General features: G+C 51.8%; 1 protein-coding gene, 1 long non-coding RNA gene and 1 pseudogene across 10 annotated transcripts, besides 10 other annotated features; 2 read left to right on the forward strand and 1 right to left on the reverse strand.

Moving 5' to 3' along the window:
• Window positions 798–847: a silencer, noted in NCBI's record as "silent region_10120". NCBI's record gives its function as "represses an Ori minimal core promoter by ATAC-STARR-seq in GM12878 lymphoblastoid cells {active_cell/tissue: GM12878}" and the evidence as "EXISTENCE:reporter gene assay evidence [ECO:0000049][PMID:35858748]".
• Window positions 1,258–1,347: an enhancer, noted in NCBI's record as "active region_14025". NCBI's record gives its function as "activates an Ori minimal core promoter by ATAC-STARR-seq in GM12878 lymphoblastoid cells {active_cell/tissue: GM12878}" and the evidence as "EXISTENCE:reporter gene assay evidence [ECO:0000049][PMID:35858748]".
• Window positions 7,585–11,900, reverse strand: ACP5 (acid phosphatase 5, tartrate resistant). 9 transcript variants are annotated; one of them, NM_001439235.1, is made up of 8 exons: window positions 11,769–11,900; window positions 11,510–11,582; window positions 10,949–11,119; window positions 10,518–10,604; window positions 9,982–10,242; window positions 9,641–9,768; window positions 9,168–9,513; window positions 7,585–8,177 (listed from the first exon to the last, which is right to left on the reverse strand). In NM_001439235.1, exons 5-8 carry the CDS (start codon window positions 10,240–10,242, stop codon window positions 7,935–7,937), a joined length of 978 nt encoding a protein of 325 aa, NP_001426164.1. In that variant the 5' UTR covers window positions 10,518–10,604; window positions 10,949–11,119; window positions 11,510–11,582; window positions 11,769–11,900; the 3' UTR covers window positions 7,585–7,934. The 9 variants fall into 9 exon arrangements, with proteins under 9 accessions (NP_001426164.1, NP_001426165.1, NP_001104505.1 ...); NM_001439236.1 differs by having other exon boundaries at window positions 11,510–11,689; NM_001111035.3 differs by lacking the exon at window positions 10,949–11,119.
• Window positions 8,174–16,589, forward strand: LOC124904638 (uncharacterized). Its single transcript, XR_007067140.1, has 2 exons — window positions 8,174–8,278; window positions 16,342–16,589. It is a non-coding gene; the product is annotated as an uncharacterized LOC124904638 (long non-coding RNA).
• Window positions 10,056–10,668: an enhancer, noted in NCBI's record as "H3K4me1 hESC enhancer chr19:11687946-11688558 (GRCh37/hg19 assembly coordinates)". NCBI's record gives its function as "activates a minimal SCP1, AML or CMV promoter by ChIP-STARR-seq in primed H9 embryonic stem cells {active_cell/tissue: H9 hESC(primed)}" and the evidence as "EXISTENCE:reporter gene assay evidence [ECO:0000049][PMID:30033119]".
• Window positions 10,669–11,280: an enhancer, noted in NCBI's record as "H3K4me1 hESC enhancer chr19:11688559-11689170 (GRCh37/hg19 assembly coordinates)". NCBI's record gives its function as "activates a minimal SCP1, AML or CMV promoter by ChIP-STARR-seq in primed H9 embryonic stem cells {active_cell/tissue: H9 hESC(primed)}" and the evidence as "EXISTENCE:reporter gene assay evidence [ECO:0000049][PMID:30033119]".
• Window positions 10,750–10,889: an enhancer, noted in NCBI's record as "active region_14026". NCBI's record gives its function as "activates an Ori minimal core promoter by ATAC-STARR-seq in GM12878 lymphoblastoid cells {active_cell/tissue: GM12878}" and the evidence as "EXISTENCE:reporter gene assay evidence [ECO:0000049][PMID:35858748]".
• Window positions 11,840–12,029: a silencer, noted in NCBI's record as "silent region_10121". NCBI's record gives its function as "represses an Ori minimal core promoter by ATAC-STARR-seq in GM12878 lymphoblastoid cells {active_cell/tissue: GM12878}" and the evidence as "EXISTENCE:reporter gene assay evidence [ECO:0000049][PMID:35858748]".
• Window positions 14,709–14,908: an enhancer, noted in NCBI's record as "active region_14027". NCBI's record gives its function as "activates an Ori minimal core promoter by ATAC-STARR-seq in GM12878 lymphoblastoid cells {active_cell/tissue: GM12878}" and the evidence as "EXISTENCE:reporter gene assay evidence [ECO:0000049][PMID:35858748]".
• Window positions 15,044–15,209: a silencer, noted in NCBI's record as "fragment chr19:11692934-11693099 (GRCh37/hg19 assembly coordinates)". NCBI's record gives its function as "represses an EF-1alpha promoter that drives an FKBP-Casp9 reporter gene in an ReSE screen in phorbol 12-myristate 13-acetate-treated (for megakaryocytic differentiation) K562 erythroleukemia cells {active_cell/tissue: K562(+PMA)}" and the evidence as "EXISTENCE:reporter gene assay evidence [ECO:0000049][PMID:32094911]".
• Window positions 16,810–16,949: an enhancer, noted in NCBI's record as "active region_14028". NCBI's record gives its function as "activates an Ori minimal core promoter by ATAC-STARR-seq in GM12878 lymphoblastoid cells {active_cell/tissue: GM12878}" and the evidence as "EXISTENCE:reporter gene assay evidence [ECO:0000049][PMID:35858748]".
• Window positions 16,960–17,019: an enhancer, noted in NCBI's record as "active region_14029". NCBI's record gives its function as "activates an Ori minimal core promoter by ATAC-STARR-seq in GM12878 lymphoblastoid cells {active_cell/tissue: GM12878}" and the evidence as "EXISTENCE:reporter gene assay evidence [ECO:0000049][PMID:35858748]".
• GAPDHP76 (glyceraldehyde-3-phosphate dehydrogenase pseudogene 76) lies at window positions 18,199–20,236 on the forward strand (annotated as a pseudogene).

Consider the following 23,039-nt stretch of genomic DNA (forward strand, 5'->3'; position numbering starts at 1 on the left):
GGTTATAGGTGCACACCACCGTGTCTGGCTAATTTTTGTATTTTTTGGTAGAGGAGGGATTTCACCATGTTGACCAGGCTAGTCTCAAACTCCTGACTTCAGGTGATCTGCCCGCCTTGGCCTCCCAAAGTGCTGGGATTACAGGCGTGATGTACCATGCCCGAACACCATTTCTTAAAATAAATAAATTAGGCCGGGTGCGGTGGTTCATGGCTATAATCCCAGCACTTCAGGAAGCCGAGATGGACAGATTGCTTGAGCCCAGGAGTTCAAGACCAGCCTGGACAAAGTGGTGAAACCCCCTCTCTACAAAAAATACAAAAATTGGCTGGGTGCAGTGGCTCACGCCTGTAACCCCAGCACTTTGAGAGGCCGAGGTGGGTGGATCACGAGGTCAGGAGATCGAGACCATCCTGGTCAACATGGTGAAACCCCGTCTCTACTAAAAATACAAAATTAGCTGGGCATGGTGGCGCACTTACCTGTAGTCCCAGCTACTCGGGAGGCTGAGGCAGGAGAATCAATTGAACCTGGGAGGTGGAGGTTGCAGTGAGCCAAGATCAGGCCACTACACTCCAGCCTGGCGACAGAGCAAGACTCTGTCTCACGGTGAAACCCCGTCTCTACTAAAAAAAAAAAAAAAAAAAAAATTAGCCGGGCGTGGTGGCGGGCGCCTGTAGTCCCAGCTACTCGGAGAGGCTGAGGCAGGAGAATGGCGTGAACCCGGGAGGCGGAGCTTGCAGTGAGCCGAGGCTGCGCCACTGTACTCCAGCCTGGGTGACAGAGCGAGACTCCGTCTCAAAAAAAAAAAAAAAAAAAAAAAAAAAAAAAATTAGCCAGGTGTGGTGGTGTGTGCTTGTAGTCCCAGCTGTTCAGGAGGCTTAGGTGGGAGGGAGGATTGCTTGAGCCCCGGAGACGGAAGTTGCAGTGAGCTGTGATCACACTACTGTACTCCAGCCTGACAGCCTGGGCAACAGAGTGAGACCCTGTCTAAAAAACAGAAAAGTAAAGAAAAAAATAAAATAATTAATTAAGATGGCTGAGTGCTGGCTGGTGTTGTCTCCTCAGCAAGACAGAAGCTCCCTGAGGGCCAGCGCCCACCCTGATTTATTCCTCCTAGTGTCCTTGGGTCCCCAGCTGCCTGGCACAGAGCTTTGGTCCTTGGTGCTCGGTAGAAGTGTCTGGCTGATGTAGAGGAGGGAGCCTGAGTTACAATCCCCCCTCCCCTGCCACTCAGTCTTCGTGTGACATTGGATGTGTCACTTCTTCTTTCTGTGCTCTGGGCCATGAGAACGGGGTCCTTGGGCTATGATGGTGACCTCTGATTCAGACTCCTGCCTGTCTGGTGCCTCTGAGTCAGTGAGAAGAGCGCGGCTGTGACCTCCCTAGACTGTTGTGGTTAAGATTGAGGGACTGCCACTTCCTAGAAATTACCTTGGTCACAGTGGTTAAGCCGTCCAATCTAAGATAAATATTGTACCAAAAAAAATTAAAAAATAAAAACCCACAAAAACACGTCTGAGCTTCTGTAATAGCCTCTGAGAAGCAAGGATGATTCTGGCCCCTGCCTCATGGGCCAGGATCAGAAGTGACGGTAAATGGCAGCTGGAACAAACTCAGGATTACATTTTGGGGATTTGTTTGTTTGCTTGAGACAGAGTCTTGCTCTGTTGCCCAGGCTGGAGTGCAGTGGTACGACCTCGGCCCACTGCAACCTCCACCTCCTGGGTTCAAGTGATTCTCCTGTCTCAGCCTCCTGAGTAGCTGGAATTACAGGCGCCCGCCACAATGCCAGCTAATTTTTGTATTTTTAATGGAGACAGCGTTTTGCCATGTTGATCAGGCTGGTCTCGAACTCCTGATCTCAAGTGATCTGCCCGCCTCAGCCTCCCAAAGTGTTGGGATTACAGGTGTGAGCCACCACCCCTGGCCAGGATTGCATTTTGGAAAGATCACTGCTTAATTATAACAGTTGGCCAGACATGATGGCTCACACCTGTAATCCTGCATTTTGGGAGGCTAAGGAGGAAGAATCACTTGAGGTCAGGAGTTTGAGACCAGCCTAGGCAACATAGCAAGACCCCATCTCTACAAAACACACACACACAAAATTAACCAAGAGTGGTGGGGTGAAGCTGTGGTCCCAGCCACTCAGGAGGCAGAGGCAGGAGGATCCCTTGAGCTCAGGAGGTGGAAACTGCAGTGAGCTATGATTACACCATTGCACTCCAGCCTGGGCAACAGAGTGAGACACTGTTTCAAAAAAAACCAAAAAATTGTAACAGTAACACATACACCTTGTAACAAATTCAACAGTATTGACATCTATAAAGTAGCAAATTATACCAAGATACACACACACACACACACACACACACACACACACACGCGCGCGCGCAAAGTAACAAATAAGCCGGAGCAGTAGCTCATGCCTGTAATCTCAGCACTTTGGGAGGCCTAGGCGGGTGGATCACCTGAGGTCGGGAATTCAAGATCAGCCTGACCAACATGGAGAAACCCTGTCTCTACTAAAAAATACAAAATTAACCAGGCGTGGTGGCGCATGCCTGTAATCCCAGCTACTCAGGAGGCTGAGGCAGGAGAATCGCTTGAATCTGGGAGGCAGAGGTTGCTGTGAGCTGAGATCACGTCACTGCACTCCAGCCTGGACAGCAAGAGGGAAACTTCTTCTCAAAAAAAAAAAAATAAGTAAAATAACAAATGAAAGGTGACAATTTCACCAAGTGCCTCTCCCCAGAAGTAACCTCAGTTACTTTTTTTTTTTTTTGAGATAGTCTCCCAAACTGGAGTGCAGTGGCGTGATCACAGCTCACTGCAGCCTCCACTTCCCAGACAAGAACGATTCTCATGCCTCAGCCTCCCAAATAGCTGGGATTATAGGCATGCATCACCAGGCCTGACTCATTCTTTTGTATTTTTTAGTAGAGGTGGGTTTTTGCCATATTGGCCAGGCTGGTCTTGAACTCCTGTCCTCAAGTGATCTGCCTGCCCCTACCTACCAAAGTGCTGGGATTACAGGCATGAGCCACTGCACTCAGCCCTGTTTACATTTTGTCCAGATTCATTTCACTCCGCTAGGCAGGCAGCTGGAGCCAAACAACTGGGTCCCTGCCGTGTAGCAGTTGCAAGTGGCGGTTGAGGGTGGGCCAAAGGAGGGGTTCCTGTGCCTTGCCTAGCGCTAATGGCCTGGGTTGCCTGGGGGTGGGTGTTACTTAACTCTCCCTCAGAGGGGAACTGGGCTCCCCTGCAACTGTCACATCAGGTCTAGCACTCTGCTTTCAGTATAAGAAAAACAGGCCCTGAGATTTTTTTTTTTTTTTTTTTCCCCTGAAACGGAGTCTCATTCTGTTTCCCAGGCTGGATTGCAGTGGTGTGATCTCGGCTCACTGCAACCTCTGCCTCCTGGGTTCAAGCGATTCTCCTGCATCAGCCTCAGTAGCTGGGATTACAGGCACGTGCCACCATACCCAGCTAATTTTTTGTATTTTTAGTAGGGATGGGGTTTCACCATGTTGGCCAGGCTGGTCTCCAACTCCTGACCTCAAGTGATCTGCCTGCCTCAGCCTCTCAAAGTGCTGGGATTACAGGTGTGAGCCACTGTGCCCAGCCCTGAGATAATTCTCCTTCTAGAAGTTTTCTTACACATTACTTTCACAGCATTGGTCCAGGGACCACCACTGCAGCCTTGTTGGTAAGAGGGAAACAATTATTTATTTATTTATGTATTTTGAGAAAGAGTCTCGCTCTGTTGCTCAGTCTGGAGTGCAGTGGCGTCATATCGGCTCACTGCAACCTCCGCCTCCCGGGTTCAAGCAATTCTCTGCCTCAGCCTCCCAAGTAGCTGGGACTACAAGCACACGCCACCATGCCCAGCTAATTTTTGTATTTTTAGTAGAGACGGGGTTTCACTATATTGGTCAGGCTGGTCTCAAACTCCTGACCTCAGGTGATCCACCTGCCTCGGCCTCTGAAAGTGTTGGGATTACAGGTGTGAGCCACCATGCCTGGCCTAGAAGGAAAGATTTAAAAAGACCACGGCTGGGTGCGGTGGCTCACGCCTGTAATCCCAGCACTTTGAGAGGCCGAGGTGGGTGGATCATGAGGTCAGGAGTTCAAGACCAGCTTGGCAAAGATGGCGAAACCCCATCTCTACTAGAAATACAAAAATTAGCTGGGCATGGTGGCGTGTGCTTGTAGTCCCAGCTACTTGGGAGGCTGAGGCAGAGAATTGCTTGAACCCGGGAGGCGGAGGTTGCAGTGAGCCAAGATCGTGCCACTGCACTCCAGCCTGGCTGATGGAGTGAGACTCCATCTCAAAAAAAAAACCTCAATGAGGCTGAGCACTTTGGCACTTTGGCTCACGCCTGCAATCCCAGCACTTTGGGAGGTTGAGGCAGGAGGATCACCTGACCCTGTGAATTTGAGGCTGCAGTGAGCTATGATCCTGCCATTGCACTCTAGTCTGAGTGACAGAGCAAGATTCTGTCTCTCAAAACAACCCCCAAAACCAATAAAATCCTGCAAGGGGCACTAGCAAGGAGCCAGTGACATAAGGCAGAAGCTTCGTGGCTGTCAAAAAGAAGTGCGATCTTTTTCCTTGTTCCTGGGAATCCTGCAAACATGTCTGCCCCATAGGTAATGCGTAGACAAGGTCATTTGTTATGACATTGAGGATTGCAAAATTGTTCGAAGTGTTACAGGAAAGGGGTCTCGATCCAGACCCCAAGAGAGCATTCTTGGATCTTATGCAAGAAACAATTCAGGACTGGGCACAGTGGCTCATGCCTGTAATCCCAGCACTTTGGGAGGCCAAGGCAGGTGAATCACCTGAGGTCAGGAGTTCAAGACCAGCCTGACCAACATGGTGAAATGCCGTCTCTACTAAAAATACAAAATTAGCCAGGCATGGTGGTGGGGGCCTGTAATCCCAGCTACCTGGGAGGCTGAGGCAGGAGAATTGCTTAATCGGTTGAACCCAGGAGATGGAGGTTGCAGTGAGCCAACATTACACCCATGTACTCCAGCCTGGGTGACAGAGTGAGACTCCATCTCAAAAAAGAAAAAAAAAAAAGTGGAGTGCAGTAACGGGAATGTGTGCAGAACTATGTGTATATTGTGTTGCTTTTGGTGTAAAAAATGGGAATGTGTTTGCAGTGGCATGCCCCTGTAATCTCATCTACTCGGGAGGCTGAGATGGATCACTTGAGCCCAGGAGCTCAAGACCAGCCTGGGCAACATAGCAAAACTCTGTCTCTGAAAAACAGTCTGGAAGCAATAGCTCATGCCTGTAATCCCAACACTTTCGGAGGCTGAGGCAGGAGGATTGCTTGAGCCCAGGAGTACAAGACCGGTTTGGGCAACAGAACAAGACTCCCATCTCTACAAAAAAAAAAAATCTAAAAATTAGTTAGGAGTGGTGGTGCGTGCCTGTAGTCCTAGCTACTTGAGAGGCTAGGGTGGGAGGATTTCTTGAGCCCAGGAGTTTGAGGCTGCAGGGAGCTATGATTGCACCACTGCACTCCAGCCTGGACAATATAGCAAGACCCCTCTCCCTAAAGAAATAATAGGCCGGGCACGGCGGCTCACGCCTGTAATCCCAACACTTTGGGAGGCTGAGGCGGGCAGGTCATGAGGTCAGGAGATTGGGACCATCCTGGCCAACATGGTGAAACCCCATCTCTACTAAAAATACAAAAATTGCCAGGCGCGGTGGCTCACTCCTGTAATCCCAGCACTTTGGGAGGCTGAGGCAGGCGGATCACGAGGTCAGGAGATTGAGACCATCCTGGCTAACACGATGAAACCCCATCTCTATTTAAAAATACAAAAAACGAGCCGGGTGTGGTGGCAGACGCCTGTAATCCCAGCTACTTGGGAGGCTGAGGCAGGAGAATGGTGTGAACCCGGGAGGCAGAGCTTGCAGTGAGCCGAGATCACGCCGCTGCACTCCAGCCTGGGCGACAGAGCAAGACTCCATCTCAAAAAAAAAAAAAAAAAAAAAAAAAATTAGCTGGGCGTGGTGGCGCGTGCCTATAATCCCAGCTACTCAGGAGGCTGAGCCAGGAGAATTGCTTGAATCTGGGAGTTGGAGGTTTCAGCGAGCCGAGCTCACGCCACTGCACTCCAGCCTGGTGACAGAGTGAGACTCCATCTCAAAAAAAAAAAAAAAGAAAAAAAAAAGAAAATAATAAAGGGAATGTTTTGATTATGGAGGCATAGACTATATAGAGAAAGAAAATGATTAATATTAGTTGCCCCTGGGGTGGAGGAAGACTTGCTTTATGTTGTACCCTTCTTTCTGCTTGGATTTTATTGAATTAATTTTTTTTTTGAGACAGAGTCTTGCTCTATCACCCAGGCTGGAGTGCAGTGGCACAATCTCAGCTCACTGCAATCTCCGCCCTCACCTCTCCACCCCCTTTACCCGCAAACCCCCTAGGCTCAAGTGATTCTCTCGCCTCAGCCTCCCAAGTAGCTGGGATTACAGTCATGTGTCACCACGCCTAGATAAGTTTTGTATTTTTAGTAGAGATGGGGTTTCACCATGATGGCCAGGCTGGTCTTGAACTTCTGACCTCAAGTGATCCGACCACCTAGGCCTTGCAAAGTGCTGGCATTACAGGTGTGAGCCATCGTGCCTGGCCTATTTTATTTACTTATTTTTTTTGAGACAGATTCTTGCTCTGTCACCCAGGCTGGAGTACAGTGGCACAATCTCAGCTCATTGCAACCTCCGCCTCCTGGGTTCAAGCAATTCTCCTGCCTCAGCCTCCTGAGTAGCTAGGACCATAGGCTCCTGCCACCACAACTGGCCAATTTTTTTTTTTCAGGCAGAGTTTAACTCTTGTTGCCCAGGCTGGAGTGCAGTGGCGCAATCTTGACTCACTGCAGCCTCCACCTCCCAGATGCAAGTGATTCTCCTGCCTCAGACTCCCAAGTAGCTGGGATTACAGGCACTCGCCAGCAAGCCTGACTAACTTTTTGTATTTTTAGTGGACATGGGGTTTCACTATGCTGGCCAGGCTGATCTTGAACTCCTGACCTCAAATAATCCACCCGCTTTGGCCTCCCAAAGTGCTGGGATTACAGATGTGAACCACTGAGCCTGGCCTCTGCTTGGATTTTATTTTTTTTTTATTTTTTATTTTTTTGAGATGGAGTCTCGCTCTTTCACCCAGGCAGGAGTGCAGTGGCGCTATCTTGGCTCACTGCAAGCTCCGCCTCCTGGGTTCACACTATTCTCCTGCCTCAGCCTCCCAAGTAGCTGGGACTACAGGCACCCGCCGCCACGCCTGGCTAATTTTTTTGTAGTTTTAGTAGAGACGGGGTTTCACCATGTTAGTCAGGATGGTCTCGATCTCCTGACCTCGTGATCCGCCCACCTCGGCCTCCCAAAGTGCTGGGATTACAGGTGTGAGCCACCGTGCCTGGCCGGGTTTTATAATCACATCCATGGATAAGGCAACTTGGTCATGGATGGGGTAAGAGATGGAGGCAAGGAACAGCAGCTCAGGGGAGCCCAGCCACTCTAACCAGGAGAACATAACACACCAGTGGCACTGGTTCAGCCTTGGCAACTATTCTTTTATTGAACATCAGTAACAGAAAGATGCTTGATTTAGGAGGAAGCTTTCCCTCCCTCCCTCCCCCATTGCACCCCGGAACTCAGCAAAGGTGAGCCAGCCACAGAGCATAACACTGTGGCTGGGACACATGTCCATGTGTGTTTCACATACGTGGGCATCTGTGCCACAAGGGTCATGTGGCACCACAGTTCATCAGCTGTGTTTCCCCTTCCTGCCCTGCTGCAGCGCCACAGGTTGGAGGAAAAGCCTGCCTGTGAGCAGGGTCCCGGCAGGGCCCACCCACCCAACAGTGGAGATCGGGCCTCAGAGCTGGGCAGTCATGGGAGTTCAGGGCCTGGCTCGCCTCGGCAGCCTGGTCTTAAAGAGGGACTTGCCCGAGGCCTCGATGTAAGTGACAGTCATCTCTTTGGAGCTGATCTCCACATAGGCAAAGCCACCCAGTGAGTCTTCAGTCCCATAGTGGAAGCGCAGATAGCCGTTGGGGACCTTGCGCTGGTGCCGCTTTGAGGGGTCCATGAAATTCCCAGCCCCACTCAGCACGTAGCCCACGCCATTCTCATCTTGCAGGTACTGAGGATGGAGGACAAGGGGTCAGTGGAGACCCAGCTTTGAGCAGAGCCCTGCCTAAGGTCCAGGGCTCGATCTGGCCCTAACCACAGAGTCACCTTGAGGTATGTAACCCCTCCTGGCTTCAATTTCCTGACTTTTAGGAGTGTATTAATCCTATTTCATAGGTAGAGCACTTAGTAAGAAATTGGTGGCCAGGTGTGGTGGCTCATGCCTGTAATCCCAGCACTTTGGGAGGCTGAGGGGGTGGATTGCTTGAGCCCAGGAATTTGAGACCAGCCTGGGCAACATAGTGAGACCTTGCCTCTACAAAAAAAATGCGCAAGGGCCAGGTGCAGTGGCTCATGCCTATAATCCCAGCACTTTGGGAGGCCGAGGCGGGCAGATCACTTGAGGTCAGAAGTTCGAGATCAGCCTGGCCAACATGGTGAAACCCCGTCTCTACTAAAATATAAAAATTAGCAAGGTTTGGTGGCCCATGCTTGTAATCCCAGCTACTTGGGAGGCTGAGACAGGAGAATTGCTTGAACCCAGGAGGCGGAGGTTGCAGTGAGTTGAGATCGTGCCACTGCACTCCCTCTCAAAAAAAAAAAAAAAAGCAAAAATTAGCTGCATGTGGTGGCCCATGCCTGTAGTGTCAGCTACTCTGGAGGCTGAAGTGGGAGGTTCACCTGAGCCCGGGAGATTGAAGCTGCAGTAAGCCCCGATTGCACCACTGCACTCCAGCCTGGGTGAAAAACAATGAAACCTTGTCTCCAAAAAAAAAAAAAAAAAAGAGCTTAAAAAAGAAAGAAAGAAAGAAATTGGCAATTCGAAGATATTATTCTGGCTTTGGAGTGTTTTCCTGGTTAGACAGCAAGATTTGAGGGACAGTCTAGACATTCTGAAGGCCACAGGAGACCCTCAAACAGCAGGAGGACCCCAGCCATGTGGACATCAGCTGGGATGGGGACCCCCCTCACCCAGCTCCCACCCCACCCACAGGGCCCTCACCTGCAGATTGTGATCGTGGCCGCACAGGTAGGCAGTGACCCCGTATGTGGCCAGCAGTGGCCGTAGCTGCTTGACCAGGCAGTGGGTAGGCCCGTGCTCGGCTATGGACCACACGGGGTAGTGGCCAGCCACCAGCACGTAGTCCTCCCTGGCCGCCGCCAGCTGTTTCTTGAGCCAGGACAGCTGTGTGCGGGCCAGCTTCACGTCTCGGGGCCTCTCAGGCTGCTGGCTGAGGAAGTCATCTGAGTTGCCACATAGTGTCACTGTGTCCAGCATAAAAATGGCCACAGACACATTGGTCTGTGGGATCTTGAAGTGCAGGCGGTAGAAAGGGCTGGGGAAGTTCCTGTGGAGGGGATAGAGGTCGTGGGTGCACATCTTGGGCGCAGAAGTCCCAGGGTCAGCTCAAGCCACAGGGCCCCTGTGTCCCTGCTATGTGAGGATCTCGGAAGGCAGGGCTGAGGGTGGCTCACCAGCGCTTGGAGATCTTAGAGTATGCAATCTGGGCAGAGACATTGCCAAGGTGGTCATGGTTTCCGGCTAGCACGTACCAGGGCACTTTGCGAAGGGAGCGGTCAGAGAATACGTCCTCAAAGGTCTCCTGTAGCAAACAGATAGGGCAGGCCTCTTCCCTGGGGTCAGTGGCTATGCCGATCCTCCCACCAAGTCAGGATAAGGGAGACACTGAATGCTCCCGGCGCCCAAAGGTGCCCCATCACCTTCCCTCTGCCCTCACCAAAGGAAGGTCACTAGGTAAGGCGGCTTCTCCCCACTGCCCGCCCCCACCTCCTGCCCCACTCTGTTGGGCACAGACCTGGAACCTCTTGTCATTGATGTCTTGCACACCAGTGAAGTAAAAATTGTCCCCTAGAGACAGGATGAAGTCTGCACCCAGGATCTGCACAGTCCGAGCGATCTCCTTGGCATTGGCCATTTCCCGGGCCGTGTGGAATGGGGCATTGGGGACCCCTCCCCAGTCACCCACGGCTACAAAGCGCAGGGCAGGGGTGGCACCATCAGCCAGGGAGGGTAGCAACAAGGCTTGCAGGATGAGCAGCGCCGTCCACATGTCCATCTGGGAGAAGAGAGACAAGCATAGGTGGCCCGGGCTGTGACAAGGGCAGGGAGGCCTTGAGACCCCCGCCTGCCCTGAGATAGAGGGAGACTGCTTGCTGCAGGCTGCCCCTGCGGGAACCCCTTGGTGCCCTAATTCTCAGGACACACAAGCTGCACAAGGCTGCACAAGCTGGCTTAGGGAAGGGGGGCGCGGTCTGTGAGAGGGCGAGCTGTACCAAGATGGCCCTGCAGGCCCATTTCACCCTCCTTCCACCTAGCCTGCCCAGCACTCACCCAGGGGGAGACACAGGCCAGTCACCGGAGGCTCTGAGAGGCTGGTGGGCTCTAGAGTAGAACTGCCGGTCCCTGAGCCTTTATTCCCTGAGGAGGAAGTGGATCATTAGTGAGGATGATGCAGTTTCTCCGAGGGCTGTCCCGGGAGCCCTCCCCTTGGGTCATGTGAGCCCTGGACTTCCCTGGAGCAGGACACGGGATTGGGGTGGGGGTGGGAGGATCTGGGCACACGTGTGCAGCAGCCTCGGCCCACACAGCCTCCGGGTGGACCTGCAGGGGCCTGTTTGTGCTGTAGGCTTGACACGTCCAGGTATCTCTGTGTGTCTGTGTATCTCAGTGTGAGTGTGTGTGTGTGTGCACACTTGAGAGGCTGTGGCTGTGATTACCCAAGACACATCTCCTGCACCTTCTTTCTCTGAGTAAGGGCTTACCTGTGTGTGTCTGGGTGTGTCTTGCTTCCTGCGTGCAGCTGAGCATGCCTACCTGGGCCTCGGCTCTGTACCTGATGGTGTTGCTGCAGACATGTATGCTGAGCCTGCGAGGCCTGTGTGGCTTGTCTGCGATGCACGCCTGTGTTCTCACGTGGCACTGGGTGGGAATCCCTATGGATGGAGTTTTGTGTGTGTCCATGTGTGTGTGCCTGGGTTGCATCTCTAGGATGGGTTGCGTGTCTGGTGTGGGAGCTGTGTTTGACAACATCTGGGTGGGGGACTCCGCGTGTGTCCCCGTCCTCCCCCTGCCCTCTCTCCATCCCACACATAAACACCAACGGGCTTCCCTTTTCCAGGAAGTCCTGCCCACACCCTCCCCTCCCCCCAGACTCCCATTCCTGCAGGAGGAACCAGGCAGGAGGCAGCTAGCTGGTGATAGCGCGCGTGACCACAGACCTCTGACCCTCATAGTCTCAGCAGCTGTCTGCAGGCCCTCCACGGGACCGCAGCCTGGGAGGGCAGGAGGCCCTGCACCTGCGGCCGGTCTGACCTGCTCCTCACCTCCCTGCCTGCCTCCTCCGTGCTGGGCGCCGCCGCGACACGTCCCGCGGACATTCAGGAGTCCCTTCAGTCCCTGCGAGCGCGGACCCGGGAGAGAGCTCTCATTCAACGCTGAGGCCACTGGCTCACAGATCTCCCCGGGTCACCCTGCGAAGTGCTTGGTCCCCCCCATTCCCAGCCCTGCAGCAGCAACAAACGGGAAGGAAGTGGGTGACGAGGACAGGCAGAGACCCCTCCCACGGGGCCGCCCGCATCTCACCTGCCGTCGCGGGGCGGGCGTTGCGGCCGGTGCCCAGCTGCAGATCCGCAGGCGATCGCACTCCTGGCGGCCCCAGCTTTAAGCAGGCAGCGGCCGATCCGCCCTGCTCGAGGGCTCAGGGCTGACCCAGGTGAGCCCCGGCGGGGAGGGCGGGCGCCTCGGCCTCCCCGCCCCGGAACCCTGCACCGCCCAGAGCCGCCACGCCTCCCGGCTGTAGGCTCCGCATCTGTAAAATGGGCCGATGAACCCCAAGGGTCGGCTCAGACCCACGGACTGCAGCTGCAGCTGGGCTAGAAGGGGTGGCCAGGGGAGCCGATTTCATCCTTTTCCTTCCTCCACGCCAACCAGGAGCCTCCATCTGCCTGGGACCCTTTGGGGGCACCCATGGGCCCACAGCCGCAGAACCACAGCACTGGGTGGGGTTTCAGCCCTGGGGCCAAGCTCTTGTGAGGTCTGTCATCATCTTCTCCTGTTGTTTTGTTTTTTTGTTTGTTTGTTTGTTTGGTTTTTTTTTTTTTGAGACAGAGTCTCGCTCTTTCACCCAGGCCGGACTGCAGTGGCGCGATCTCGGCTCACTGCAAGCTCTGCCTCCCGGGTTCTCGCCATTCTCCTGCCTCAGCACCCCCGAGTAGCTGGGACTACGGGCGCCGCCACCGCGCCCGGCTAATTTTTTGTATTTTTTAGTAGAGACGGGGTTTCACCGTGTTAGCCAGGATGGTTTCGATCTCCTGACCTCGTGATCCACCCACCTTGGCCTTCCAAAGTGCTGGGATTACAGGCGTGAGCCACCGCGCCCGGCCTGTTTTTGTTTTTTTTTTTTTTGAGACAGTTTTATTCTGGTTGCCCAGGCTGGAGTGCAGTGGCGCAATCTTGGCTCACGCAACCTCCGCCTCCCGGGTACAAGCGATTCTCCTGCCTCAGCCTCCCTAGTAGCTGTGATTACAGGCACGCACCACCACGCCCGGCTAATTTTGTATTTTTAGTAGAGACGGGGTTTCTCCATGTTGGCCAGGCTGGTCTCCAATGCCCGATCTCAGGTGATCTGCCCACCTCAGCCTCCCAAAGTTCTGCGATTACAGGCGTGAGTCACCATGCCTGGCCAGTCTCCTGTTTTTTTAAAAACTTATTATTTAGCCGGTGTGGTGTCTCACACCTGTAATCCTGGCACTTTGGGAGGCCGAGGTGAGCGGATCACTTGAGGTCAGGTGTTCCAGACCAGCCTGGGCAACATGGCAAAACCTTGTCTCTACTAAAAAGACAAAAATTAGCTGGAGGTGCTCTCTTGAACCCAGGAGGCAGAGGTTGCAGTGAACTGAGATCATGCCACTGCACTCCAACCCAGGAGGAGGAGGTTGCACTGAGCCAATATCATGCCACTACATTCCAGCCTGGGCGACAGAGCAAGACTCTGTCCCCCCCAAAAAAAAAACAGAAAAAAAAAAAAAGAAAGAAATCTGAAGCAATTATGACCAAATGTTAACATCTGTTTCTTCACGTGGTGGGTACAGGCGTGTTTTGGAAGCTTCTATGCTTCCTGTATTTTGAGATCACACAAAATTATGTTTATTATCTTATTGTGCTACATGATCTTTGTAGAAAAGTTGGTAAATTCTGGAATGCACGAAGAAAAAGATTATAATAGCCAGTAATACCCCTGCCCAGAGAGACAGTATCCATTAATTTTTCTCTGCCTATGTTTGTCTTCGGAAAAATGGGATACTATTGGCACTATTTTATAACTTTTTAATTTGTATTAACACTTTCTATATTTTTTAAATTGAAAAAGCTGGCCAAGCATGGTGGCTCAGGCCTGTAAACCCAGCCAATGTGGGAGGATCGCTTGAGCCCGGGAGTTCAGGAACAGCCTGGGCATCGTGGCGAGACCACATTGCTACAAAAAAAAAAAAAAAAAAAAAAAAAATTAGCCAGGCATGGTGGTGCACACCTGTGGTTCCATCTACTCAGGAAGCTGAGGTGGAGGATCGCTTGAGCCTGGGAGTTTGAGGCTGCAATAAGCTACGAATGCACCACTGACCTTCAGCCTGGGCAACACAGCTAGACTCTTGTCTCAGAGAGAGAGAGAGAGAGAGAGAGAGAGCACAATGAAAAAAATAAACCTGATCTTGCACAGAGCATGTAATAAAACCTGTGCGTTCTTGGCTATCTCTCTCTGGTCTCCTCCAGGGTGCTGAATAAGCTCTTCTCTCTCCATTCACCCAGGAGAACTCTCTTCTGCTGATTTTCTGTGGAGCTAGATCAGGCTGTGACTCAGAATCTCCCTCCACCTCCACCCTTTCCTATTTTCCCAACACCAGTGTCAATCTCAGATGTCAACAACCCCACGAGTGAGTTCCTCCTGTTGCCAATACATCCAGGTCCTGTTCTCCGCTGCTGTCTCTACCCAATCCCTTCCCTTCCTTCCTCCTGCCAATCCTGCTTTCCCTGTTTCTTGCTCCTCTGACCTCCTCCGCATTGCTTGACTGTCTCAGATACACTCTGGCCTCAGGGTCTTGGCACTTTCTGTTCTCCCTGCCTGGAAGGGTCTTCCTTAGTCAGATACTGAGGTCACCCATTGTGTTCAAGTTCCTTTAATTTATCTGAAATGAGTCTGGGCGTGGTGGCTCACGCCTGTAATCCCAGCACTTTGGGAAGCCAAGCCGGGTGGATCACTTGAGGCCAGGAGTTCGAGACCAGCCTGGCCAACATGGTGAAACCCCATCTCTACTAAAAATACAGAAATTAGCTGGGCGTGGTGGCACAAACCTGTGGTCCCAGCTACTCAGGAGGTCGAGGCAGGAGAATTGCTTGAACCTGGGAGGCGGAGGTTGCAGTGAGCCAAGATCGTGCCACTGTACTCTAGCCTGGGTGACAGAGTGAGACTCTGTCTCAAAAAAAAAAAAAAAAAAAGAAAAAGATAATTTATCTGAAATTATCTGAAATGCACCACCCTGCCCCCATCATTGACTCTCCTGTTGCTGTAGTTTTCTCTGCAGCACTTACCAGTGCTTGAGAAAACCACCCACTCATTTATCTTGCTTTCAGTTTCTCTTGCTTTCAGTCTGTCTTCAGTTAATGAAAGCTTTTTTTTTCTTTCTTTTTTCTTTTTCTAAAACAGAGTCACCCAGGCTGGAGACCAGTGATGCGATCACGGCTCACTGCAGACTCGACCTTCTGGGCTCAGGGGATCCTCCCACACCCCTTGGCCTCCTGGGGATTGAGACTACAGGCACACACCACCACACCCAGCTAATTTTTGTATTTTTTGTAGAGAGAGGGATTTGTCACCTTGTCCAGGCTGCTCTTGAACTCCTGAGTTCAAGCAATCCTCCCAACTCAGCCCCTCAAAGTGCTGGGATTACAGGTGTGAACCACTGCCCCTGGCCTGTTTATTTAAAAAATTAACATTCATTCTCAGTTTATTGGCTAAGTTTAGAAGTAGTATCAGAATGTTTAAGAGAACTTACTGTTCTCCTTTTATTTGTATGTTTGCATTGTAGATTTTTAATAACTGATAAGGACTTCTCAAGGTGTTTGCTTGGTGGAGACATTTAAAAAGATTAAAGAATAGGCCAGGTGCAGTGGCTCATGCCTGTAATCCCAGCACTTTGGGAGGCCGAGGCGGGTGGATCAAGAGGTCAGGAGATCGAGACCATCCTGGCTAACATGGTGAAACCCCATCTCTACTATAAATACAAAAAATTACCTGGGTGTGGTGGCACGTGCCTGTAGTCCCAGCTACTCAGGAGGCTGAGGCAGGAGAATCGCTTGAACCCGGGAGGCAGAGGTTGCAGTGAGCTGAGATCGCACCATTGCACTCTAGCCTGGGTGGTAGAGCAAGACTCTGTCTCAAAAAATAATAATAATAAATTAAAAGATTAAAGAATAAGCTGGCACAGTGGCTCACACCTGTCATCCCAACACTTTTTGTAGAGACCTCATCTCTTAAAAATAAAATTAGCTGGGCGTGGTTGTGTGCACCTGTAGCCCAGCTACTCAGGAGGCTGAGGTGGGAGCATTGCTCAGGAGGTCGAGGCTGCAGTGAGCCATGATTGCACCACTGCACTCCAGTCTGGGTGACAGAGCTGATACACTGTCTCTAAAAAATAATAATAATTGACCGGGCGCAGTGGCTCACGCCTGTAATCCCATCACTTTGGGAGGCCGAGGCGGGCGGATCACGAGGTCAGGAGATCGAGAGCAACATGGCTAACACGGTGAAACCCCGTCTCTACTAAAAATACAAAAAAATTAGCTGGGCGTGGTGGTGGGCGCCTGTAGTCCCAGCTACTCGGGAGGCTGAGGCAGGAGAATGGCATGAACCTGGGAGGTGGAGCTTGCAGTGAGCCAAGATCGCGCCACTGCACTCCATCCGGCTTGGGTGACAGAGCGAGACTCCATCTCAAAAAAAAAATTAATAATAATAATTATTATTATAGTAGTAAAAGAGTATAGAATAAAATGCATCACACTTATAAAATGTAAAATGTTAATTTCAATCCACTAAACTTATAAACGGACCCAAATATGCATCCAATGACCTCTTAAAGTGATATTTCTTTTTCTTTTTGTTGAGATGGAGTCTCACTCACTCTGTCACCCAAGCTGGAGCGCAGTGGTGTGATCTTCAGCTCGTCCCAACCTCCGTCTCCCAGGTTCAAGCGATTCTCCTGACCTCAAGTGATCCGTCTGCCTTGGCATCCCAAAGTGCTGGGATTACAGGCCTGAGGCCAGGCCCTGAATTAATTTTTTGATGTTTCACTTTGCCAGGTGTATAAGTAACATGTTAGTTGTGATTGTAACTAAATAAAGGCTTAAGGGAAACCGTGTTTCTAAATTTCTAAATTGACTACACATTTACAAAGGAACCCACAAAGATGGATTTTTGGGCCGGGCGCAGTGGCTCACGCCTGTAATCCCAGCACTTTGGGAGGCTGAGGCAGACAGATTGCCTGAGTTCAGGAGTTCAAGATCAGCCTAGGCAACAAGGTGAAACCCTTTCTCTACTAAAATACAAAAAAATTAGCTGGGCATGGCAGCGAGCACCTGTAATCCCAGCTACTTGGGAGGCTGAGGCCGGAGAATTGCTTGAACCAGGGAGGCAGAGGTTGCAGTGAGTCGAGATCACACCACCGCACTCCAGCCTGGGCAACACAGTGAGACTCGATCTTAAAAAAAAAAAAAAAAGATGGACTTTTTCGGGGCCCCAAGGCTTCAAAATTCAAAATGCTGTCATGAGTTAGTTTGATTTGAGGAACCAAAAATTGGCTTTTGTGGCTGGAGCAGAGTGAGCAAGGGGGAAGTGAATCCGGAAGGTTGAGTCTGCAAGGTCAAGGGCAAGGAACAGAGAAGGGTGTGGGTGGGGCAGGTTGCGTGTGCTCTTGGGGGCTGCAGGGAAGGGGGCTTTTATCTGGGTAAGGTGGGAGCCACAGAGGGTTCTGATCAGAGGGACAGATCTGACTTAGATTTTGCATGATGTCCCCCAGCTGTGGGCTGCGGGGCATGGGCTGCTGAATAGGTGGTTTAGGTGGGCAAAGATGGGTCATGGTGCCCCCTACCCTTTAAAAATTAAAAGACAGGGCCAGGAGCAGTGGCTCACGCCTGTAATCCCAGCACTTTGGGAGGCTGAGGTGGGCGGATCACCTGAGGTCAGGTGTTTGAGACCAGCCTGACCAACAAGGTGAAACCCCATCTCTACTAAAAATACAAAAAAAATTAGCTGGGCGTGGTGGCAGCCACCTGTAATCCCAGCTACTCGGGAGGCTGAGGCAGGAGAATCGCTTGAACCCGGGAAGCAGAGGTTGCAGTGAGCCAAGATCGTGCCACTGCACTCCAGCCTGGGCGACAAGAGCAAGACTGTCTCAAATAATAATAATAGGCCGGGTGTGGTGGCTCACACCTGTAATCCCAGCACTTTGGGAGGTTGAGGTGGGTGGATCACTGGAGCCCAGGAGTTTGAGACAAGCCTGGGTGACACAGTGAGACCCCATCTAAATTATTATTATTATTATTATTTGAGACAGAGTCTTGCTCCATCACCCAGGCTGGAGTGCAGTGGCGCGATCTTGGCTCACTGCAAGCTCCGCCTCCCGGGTTCACGCCATTCTCCTGCCTCAGCCTCCCAAGTAGCTGGGACTACAGGTGCCCGCCACCACGCCCAGCTAATTTTTTGTATTTTTTAGTAGAGACGGGGTTTCACCATGTTAGTAAGGATGGTCTGGATCTCCTGACCTTGTGATCCGCCTGCCTTGGCCTCCCAAGGTGCTGGGATTACAGGCGTGAGCCACCATGCCCAGCCTGAATTTTTTTTCTTAAAGATTAAAAAGGCAGAGCCTCTCTGCTCCTCCCATTTGACAGACAGCCACATCTTTTCATGCAGTGAAAAAGGCATGTCCCCGAGACACCGTGGTGAAAGTGAAGACAGGAGTAAATGGATTTGGCCATATTGGGTGCCTGGTCACCAGGGCACCAGAGCTGCTTTTAACTCTGGCAGAATGGATGTTGTCACCTCAATGACCCCTTCATTGACCTCAACTACATGGTCTACATGTTCCAATATGATTCTACCCACGGCAAGTTCCGCGGCACCATCAAAGCTGAGAAGTGGGCTGGGTGTGGTGGCTCATGCTTGTAATCTCAGCTACTTAGGAGGTTGAGGTGGGAGGATCACTTGAGACCAGGAGTTCAGGACCAGCCTAGGCAACATAGGGAGATCCTCTCTCTCTTAAAAAAAAAAAAAAAGAAAAGAAAAGACTGAGAAAGAGAAGGGAAGCTTGTCATCAATAGGAAATGGGAATCTCATCCCCATCTTCTAGAAGCCAGATCCCAGCAAAATCAAATTGGGTGACGATGCTGGCACTGGTTATGTCATGGAGTCCACCAGCAGCATCTTCACGACCATGGGGAAGGCTGGGGCTCGCTTAGGATGGGCAGCCAAAGGGATCACCATCTCTGCCCCCTCTGCCCATGCCCCCATGTTTGTGATGGACATGAACCATGAGAGATACAAAAACCTCATGATCGTCAGCAATGCCTCCTGCACCACCAACTGCTTACCCTCCGGCCAAGGTCATCCGTGACAACGTTTTTTTTTGGTTTGGTTTGGTTTTCTTTCTTTCTTTTTTCTTTTTTTGTTTTAAATAGGGATGGAGGCCAGGTGCAGTGACTCATGCCTGTAATCCCAACACTTTGGGAAGCTGCGGTTGGAGGATCACTTGAGCCTAGGAGTTCAAGACCAGCCTGGCCAACATAGCAAGACTCTGTCTCTACAAAAAGTTTAAAAAAATTATCCAGGCATGGTGGGGTGTATCTGTAGTCCCAGCTATTTGAGAGGCTGAGGTGGGAGGGTTGCTTGAGCTTGGGAGGTTGAGGCTGCAGTGAGCCGGGTGACGGAGTAAGACCCTATTTCATAAATAAATAAATAGAGACGGGGGTCTCACTTTGTTGCCCAGGCTGGTCTTAAACTCCTGGGCTCAAGTGATCCTCCCACTTTGGCTTCCCAAAATGCTGAGATTACAGGCTGAGCCACTGACCCTGGTCATCCATGACATCTTTGGCAACATGGAGGGGCTCATGACCACAGCCCCTCTGGGAAACTGGCGTGACAAACATCATCCCTGCATCTACTGGCACGGCCAAGGCTGTGGGCAAATTCCTGCACTGAACAGGAAGCTCACTGGCACAGCCTTCCGAGTCCCTGCCACCAATGTGTTGGTGGTTGACCCGACCTGCCATCTGGAGAAACCTGCCAAATATGATGACCTCAAGAAGGTGGTGAAACAGGCATTGGGGGGGCCCCCTCAAGGGCATCCCGGGCTACATTGAGAACAAGGTTATATCCTCCGCCTTTGTTTTTAAATTATATTTATTTATTTTTTTGATAGGGAGTCTCGTTCTGTCTCCCAGGCTGGAGTGCAGTGGCGCGATCTTGGCTCACTGCAACCTCCACCTCCTGGGTTCAAGCAATCAATTCTCCTGCCTCAGTCTCCCGAGTAGCTGGGATTACAGGCGCACACCGCCACACCCAGCTAATTTTTTGTATTTTTAGTAGGGATGGGGTTTCACCATGTTGGCCAGGCTGGTCTCAAAATCCTGAACTCAAGTGATCCACCCGCCTCAGCCTCCGAAAGTGCTGGGATTACAGGCCTGAGCCACCGTGCCTGGCCGTCTCCTCTGACTTTTAACAGCGACACCCATCCTTCCACCTTCTGTGCTGGGGCTAGCATTGCCCTTGATGACACTTTGTCAAGTTCATTTCCTGGCATGACAATGTATTTGGCTTCAGCAAAAAGGTGGTGGTCCACACTGTCTCCAAGGAGTAAGACCCTCAGACCAGGAGCCCCAGTGACAGTATGAGAGGAAGAGAGAGGCCCTCAGCTGCTTGGGAGTCCCTGCTGCACTCAGCCCCCCACCACACTGAAAATCTCCCCATACACAGTTTCCATGCCAGACCCCCTGAAGAACAGGGCCTATCAATAAAGCAGTAAGGTCCTCTGTACTTAGACCAAAAACAAAAAAAAACAAAAAAAAAACAAAAAATGAAAATTACTCTTGCCTGTAATCCCAGCATTTAGGGAGGCTCAGGTGGGAAGATTGCTTGAGCCTAGGAGTTTGAGACCAACCTGGGCAATATGGTGAGACTTTGTCTCCAATATAGATAGATGATAGACGGATGGATAGAAGATAGACAGATTAGACAGAGAGAGAGAGAGAAAGGAGAGAGAGAGAGAGAGAGAAAAGAGGGGAGGGGAGGGGAGGGGAGGGGAGGGGAGGGGAGGGGAGGAGAGGAGAGGAGAGGAGAGGAGAGGAGAGGAGAGGAGAGGAGAGGAGAGGAGAGGAGAGAGAAATTAGGCAGAGGAGAGGAGAGAGAAATTAGGCAGATGCCTTGGGCAGTGAAGTCCCTGGGGATGGTCTACTGTTCCCGCAGCCTGAGCGCCTTTTTCAGACGTTTTTATCTGTCCACTGCTGCCCCTGCATGGCCACAGCCTGAACTGCAGCACCGAACGCAGACCCAGTTTCCCTTTTGGAGAAGAAATTAATGCTCCTTCCAGCCCCCCACTTGCCACTAGGCCTGTGCAGGGCGTGGACAGATTCTACAGTGGATCCAGCCAGAGACTGCCCCAGAGAAAATTCCAGGGGTGGGATGAGTGAGGTATGCTGGGACTGGAATGTTTGTAGGATAACATGATGAGCAGCCGGATTCCCAGGAAATTGCAAACCGTGTCTGCTCTGGTGAGATTCTCAGAGGAGGGGATCTATAGGCAGTTCTGAGTAGGCACTGGGTAAAAGCCTGGAAAGAGGACCCTGGCTTGGATGGGGCTCTGCCTCACTCGCCATGAGCTCCTTGGCGCTATCAGTCAGCACAGTTCAGCTGCATGGGTGTGAAGGTGTCCTGGTGACTGGCTACCCCCATGCCTGCCTCAGTGCACGGGAGGTGGAATTATGGATTTGGTGGGGCTCGCACAGGCTAAGGGACTGATTTTCAGTCTGGAGAATGGGAGGGCAGGATGAGCTGTGGAGGGTCAGGCTGGTGGTTTGGAGGGTGGCATGATGTAAATGTAGCTGTTCACTGTTGTAGTTTGCTGCCACCAGTTCAGTCTGGCTAGGTTCCAGGTGGGTCAATAATCTCAAATGGGGCTGGGCTCAGTGGCTCACACCTGTAATCCCAGCACTTCGGGAGGCCGAGGCGGGTGGATCACTTGAGGCCAGGAGTTCGAGACTAGCCTGCCTAACATGGTGAAACCTCGTCTATACCAAAATATAAAAAATTAGCCAGGTGTGGTGGCGGGCGCCTGTAAGCCCAGCTACTCGGGAGACTGAGGCAGGAGAATGCTTGAACCCAGGGGGTGGAGGTTGCAGTGAGCCAAGATCGTGCCACTGCACTCCAGCCTGGGCGACAGAGCGAGATTCCACCAAAACAAACAAACAAACAAAATCCCAAATCGGGAGAGGTGAGGTGGGGTCTGTCATGCCAAGGAGTTGGTTTCTTTCTTTTTTTTTTTTTTTTTTGAGATGGAGTCTCAGTCTGTCACCCAGGCTGGAGTGCAGTGGCGCTATCTCGGCTCACTGCAAGCTCCGCCTCCCGGGTTCACGCCATTCTCCTGCCTCAGCCTCCCAAGTAGCTGGGACTACAGGTGCCCGCCACCACGCCCGGCTAATTTTTTGTATTTTTAGTAGAGACGGGATTTCACCGTGTTAGCCAGGTTGCTCTCGATCTCCTGACCTCTTGATCCGCCCGCCTCGGCCTCCCAAAGTGCTGGGATTACAGGCGTGAGCCACCGCGCCCGGCCAGGAGTTGGTCTTTATATTACCTAACTCCCACCTCTTTCCTCAATGATTTGAACGTTTGATCATTTGAATGTTTGAATGTTTGATCCTCGTGATCAAACATTCCCGTTACTCTCTAGACCCCATCATGCTCCCCCAACCCCTCCCCACATCCTCTCAGATATCCACCAGCTCTAGCCCCCAGAGTAAAAACATCCATCGTCTCCACCATCAAGTGAAAGCAAATGGTGACTTCCTTGCCTCAGCCATTGCTGAGCCAGTTGGATGGCAAGGAGGAAAACCCCACCCAAGCCCCACCTAACCCCTGTCCTCCTTTTCATCCCAGCCGGTGCCCACTGATTCCATGGTTACCTGACTTATCCACTCCAGCTCCTGGTCCTTCTATCCTGGGTACCGCTGAACTGCTTGGGAGTAGCAGGCTGAGAAGTTCTGGTGCCCCTCCTGCAGCAAGGCTGTCAGCGGGCACGGGAGGATGCGGGGACCGGCTGGAGTAAGCCATAGCCAGGGCAGGAAGGAGCCCCACACAGATCTCCCTCAGCTGTGAACTCCACAACGACCCACCTCACAGTCAACAACACCAATGGACACTCGTTCCTCTAATCCCGTTATTACTAGGCACCCATTTCTCTCCACCCAAGGTTTTGTTCACCATCCTCAATTATTTATTATTTTTTTGAGATGGAGTCCAGGCTGAAGTGCAGTAACGCAATTTCGGCTCACTGTAGCCTCTGCCTCCCGGGTTCAAGCGATTCCCCTGTCTCAGTCTCCCAAGTAGCTGGGATTACAGGCCCCCGGCACCACGCCCAGCTACTTTTTGTATTTTTAGTAGAGACGGGGTTTCCCCATGTTTGCCAGGCTGGTCTCAAACTCTTGACTTCAGGTCATCTGCCTGCTTCGGCCTCCCAAAGTGCTGGGATTACAGACGTGAGCCACCACGCCCAGCCGGTACCCCCAATTATTTCAGTATTCATGATCCGCAGGAAGGAA

The sequence above is a fragment of the Homo sapiens genome, chromosome 19 (genome assembly GCF_000001405.40).
Source record: "Homo sapiens chromosome 19, GRCh38.p14 Primary Assembly".
NCBI classification, from domain to species: Eukaryota; Metazoa; Chordata; class Mammalia; order Primates; family Hominidae; genus Homo; species Homo sapiens.

Bases quoted from the DNA above. Each gene is read 5' to 3' on its own strand.
- ACP5 (NM_001111036.3), bottom strand. From the start codon at position 10,242: ATGGACATGTGGACGGCGCTGCTCATCCTGCAAGCCTTGTTGCTACCC. The intron at 9,769-9,981 runs GTCTGTGCCCAA...TGTTTGCTACAG, and splicing joins TCAATGACAAGAGGTTCCAG to GAGACCTTTGAGGACGTATT. The intron at 8,178-9,167 runs GTGAGGGCCCTG...CTCCATCCTCAG, and splicing joins GCCACGATCACAATCTGCAG to TACCTGCAAGATGAGAATGG.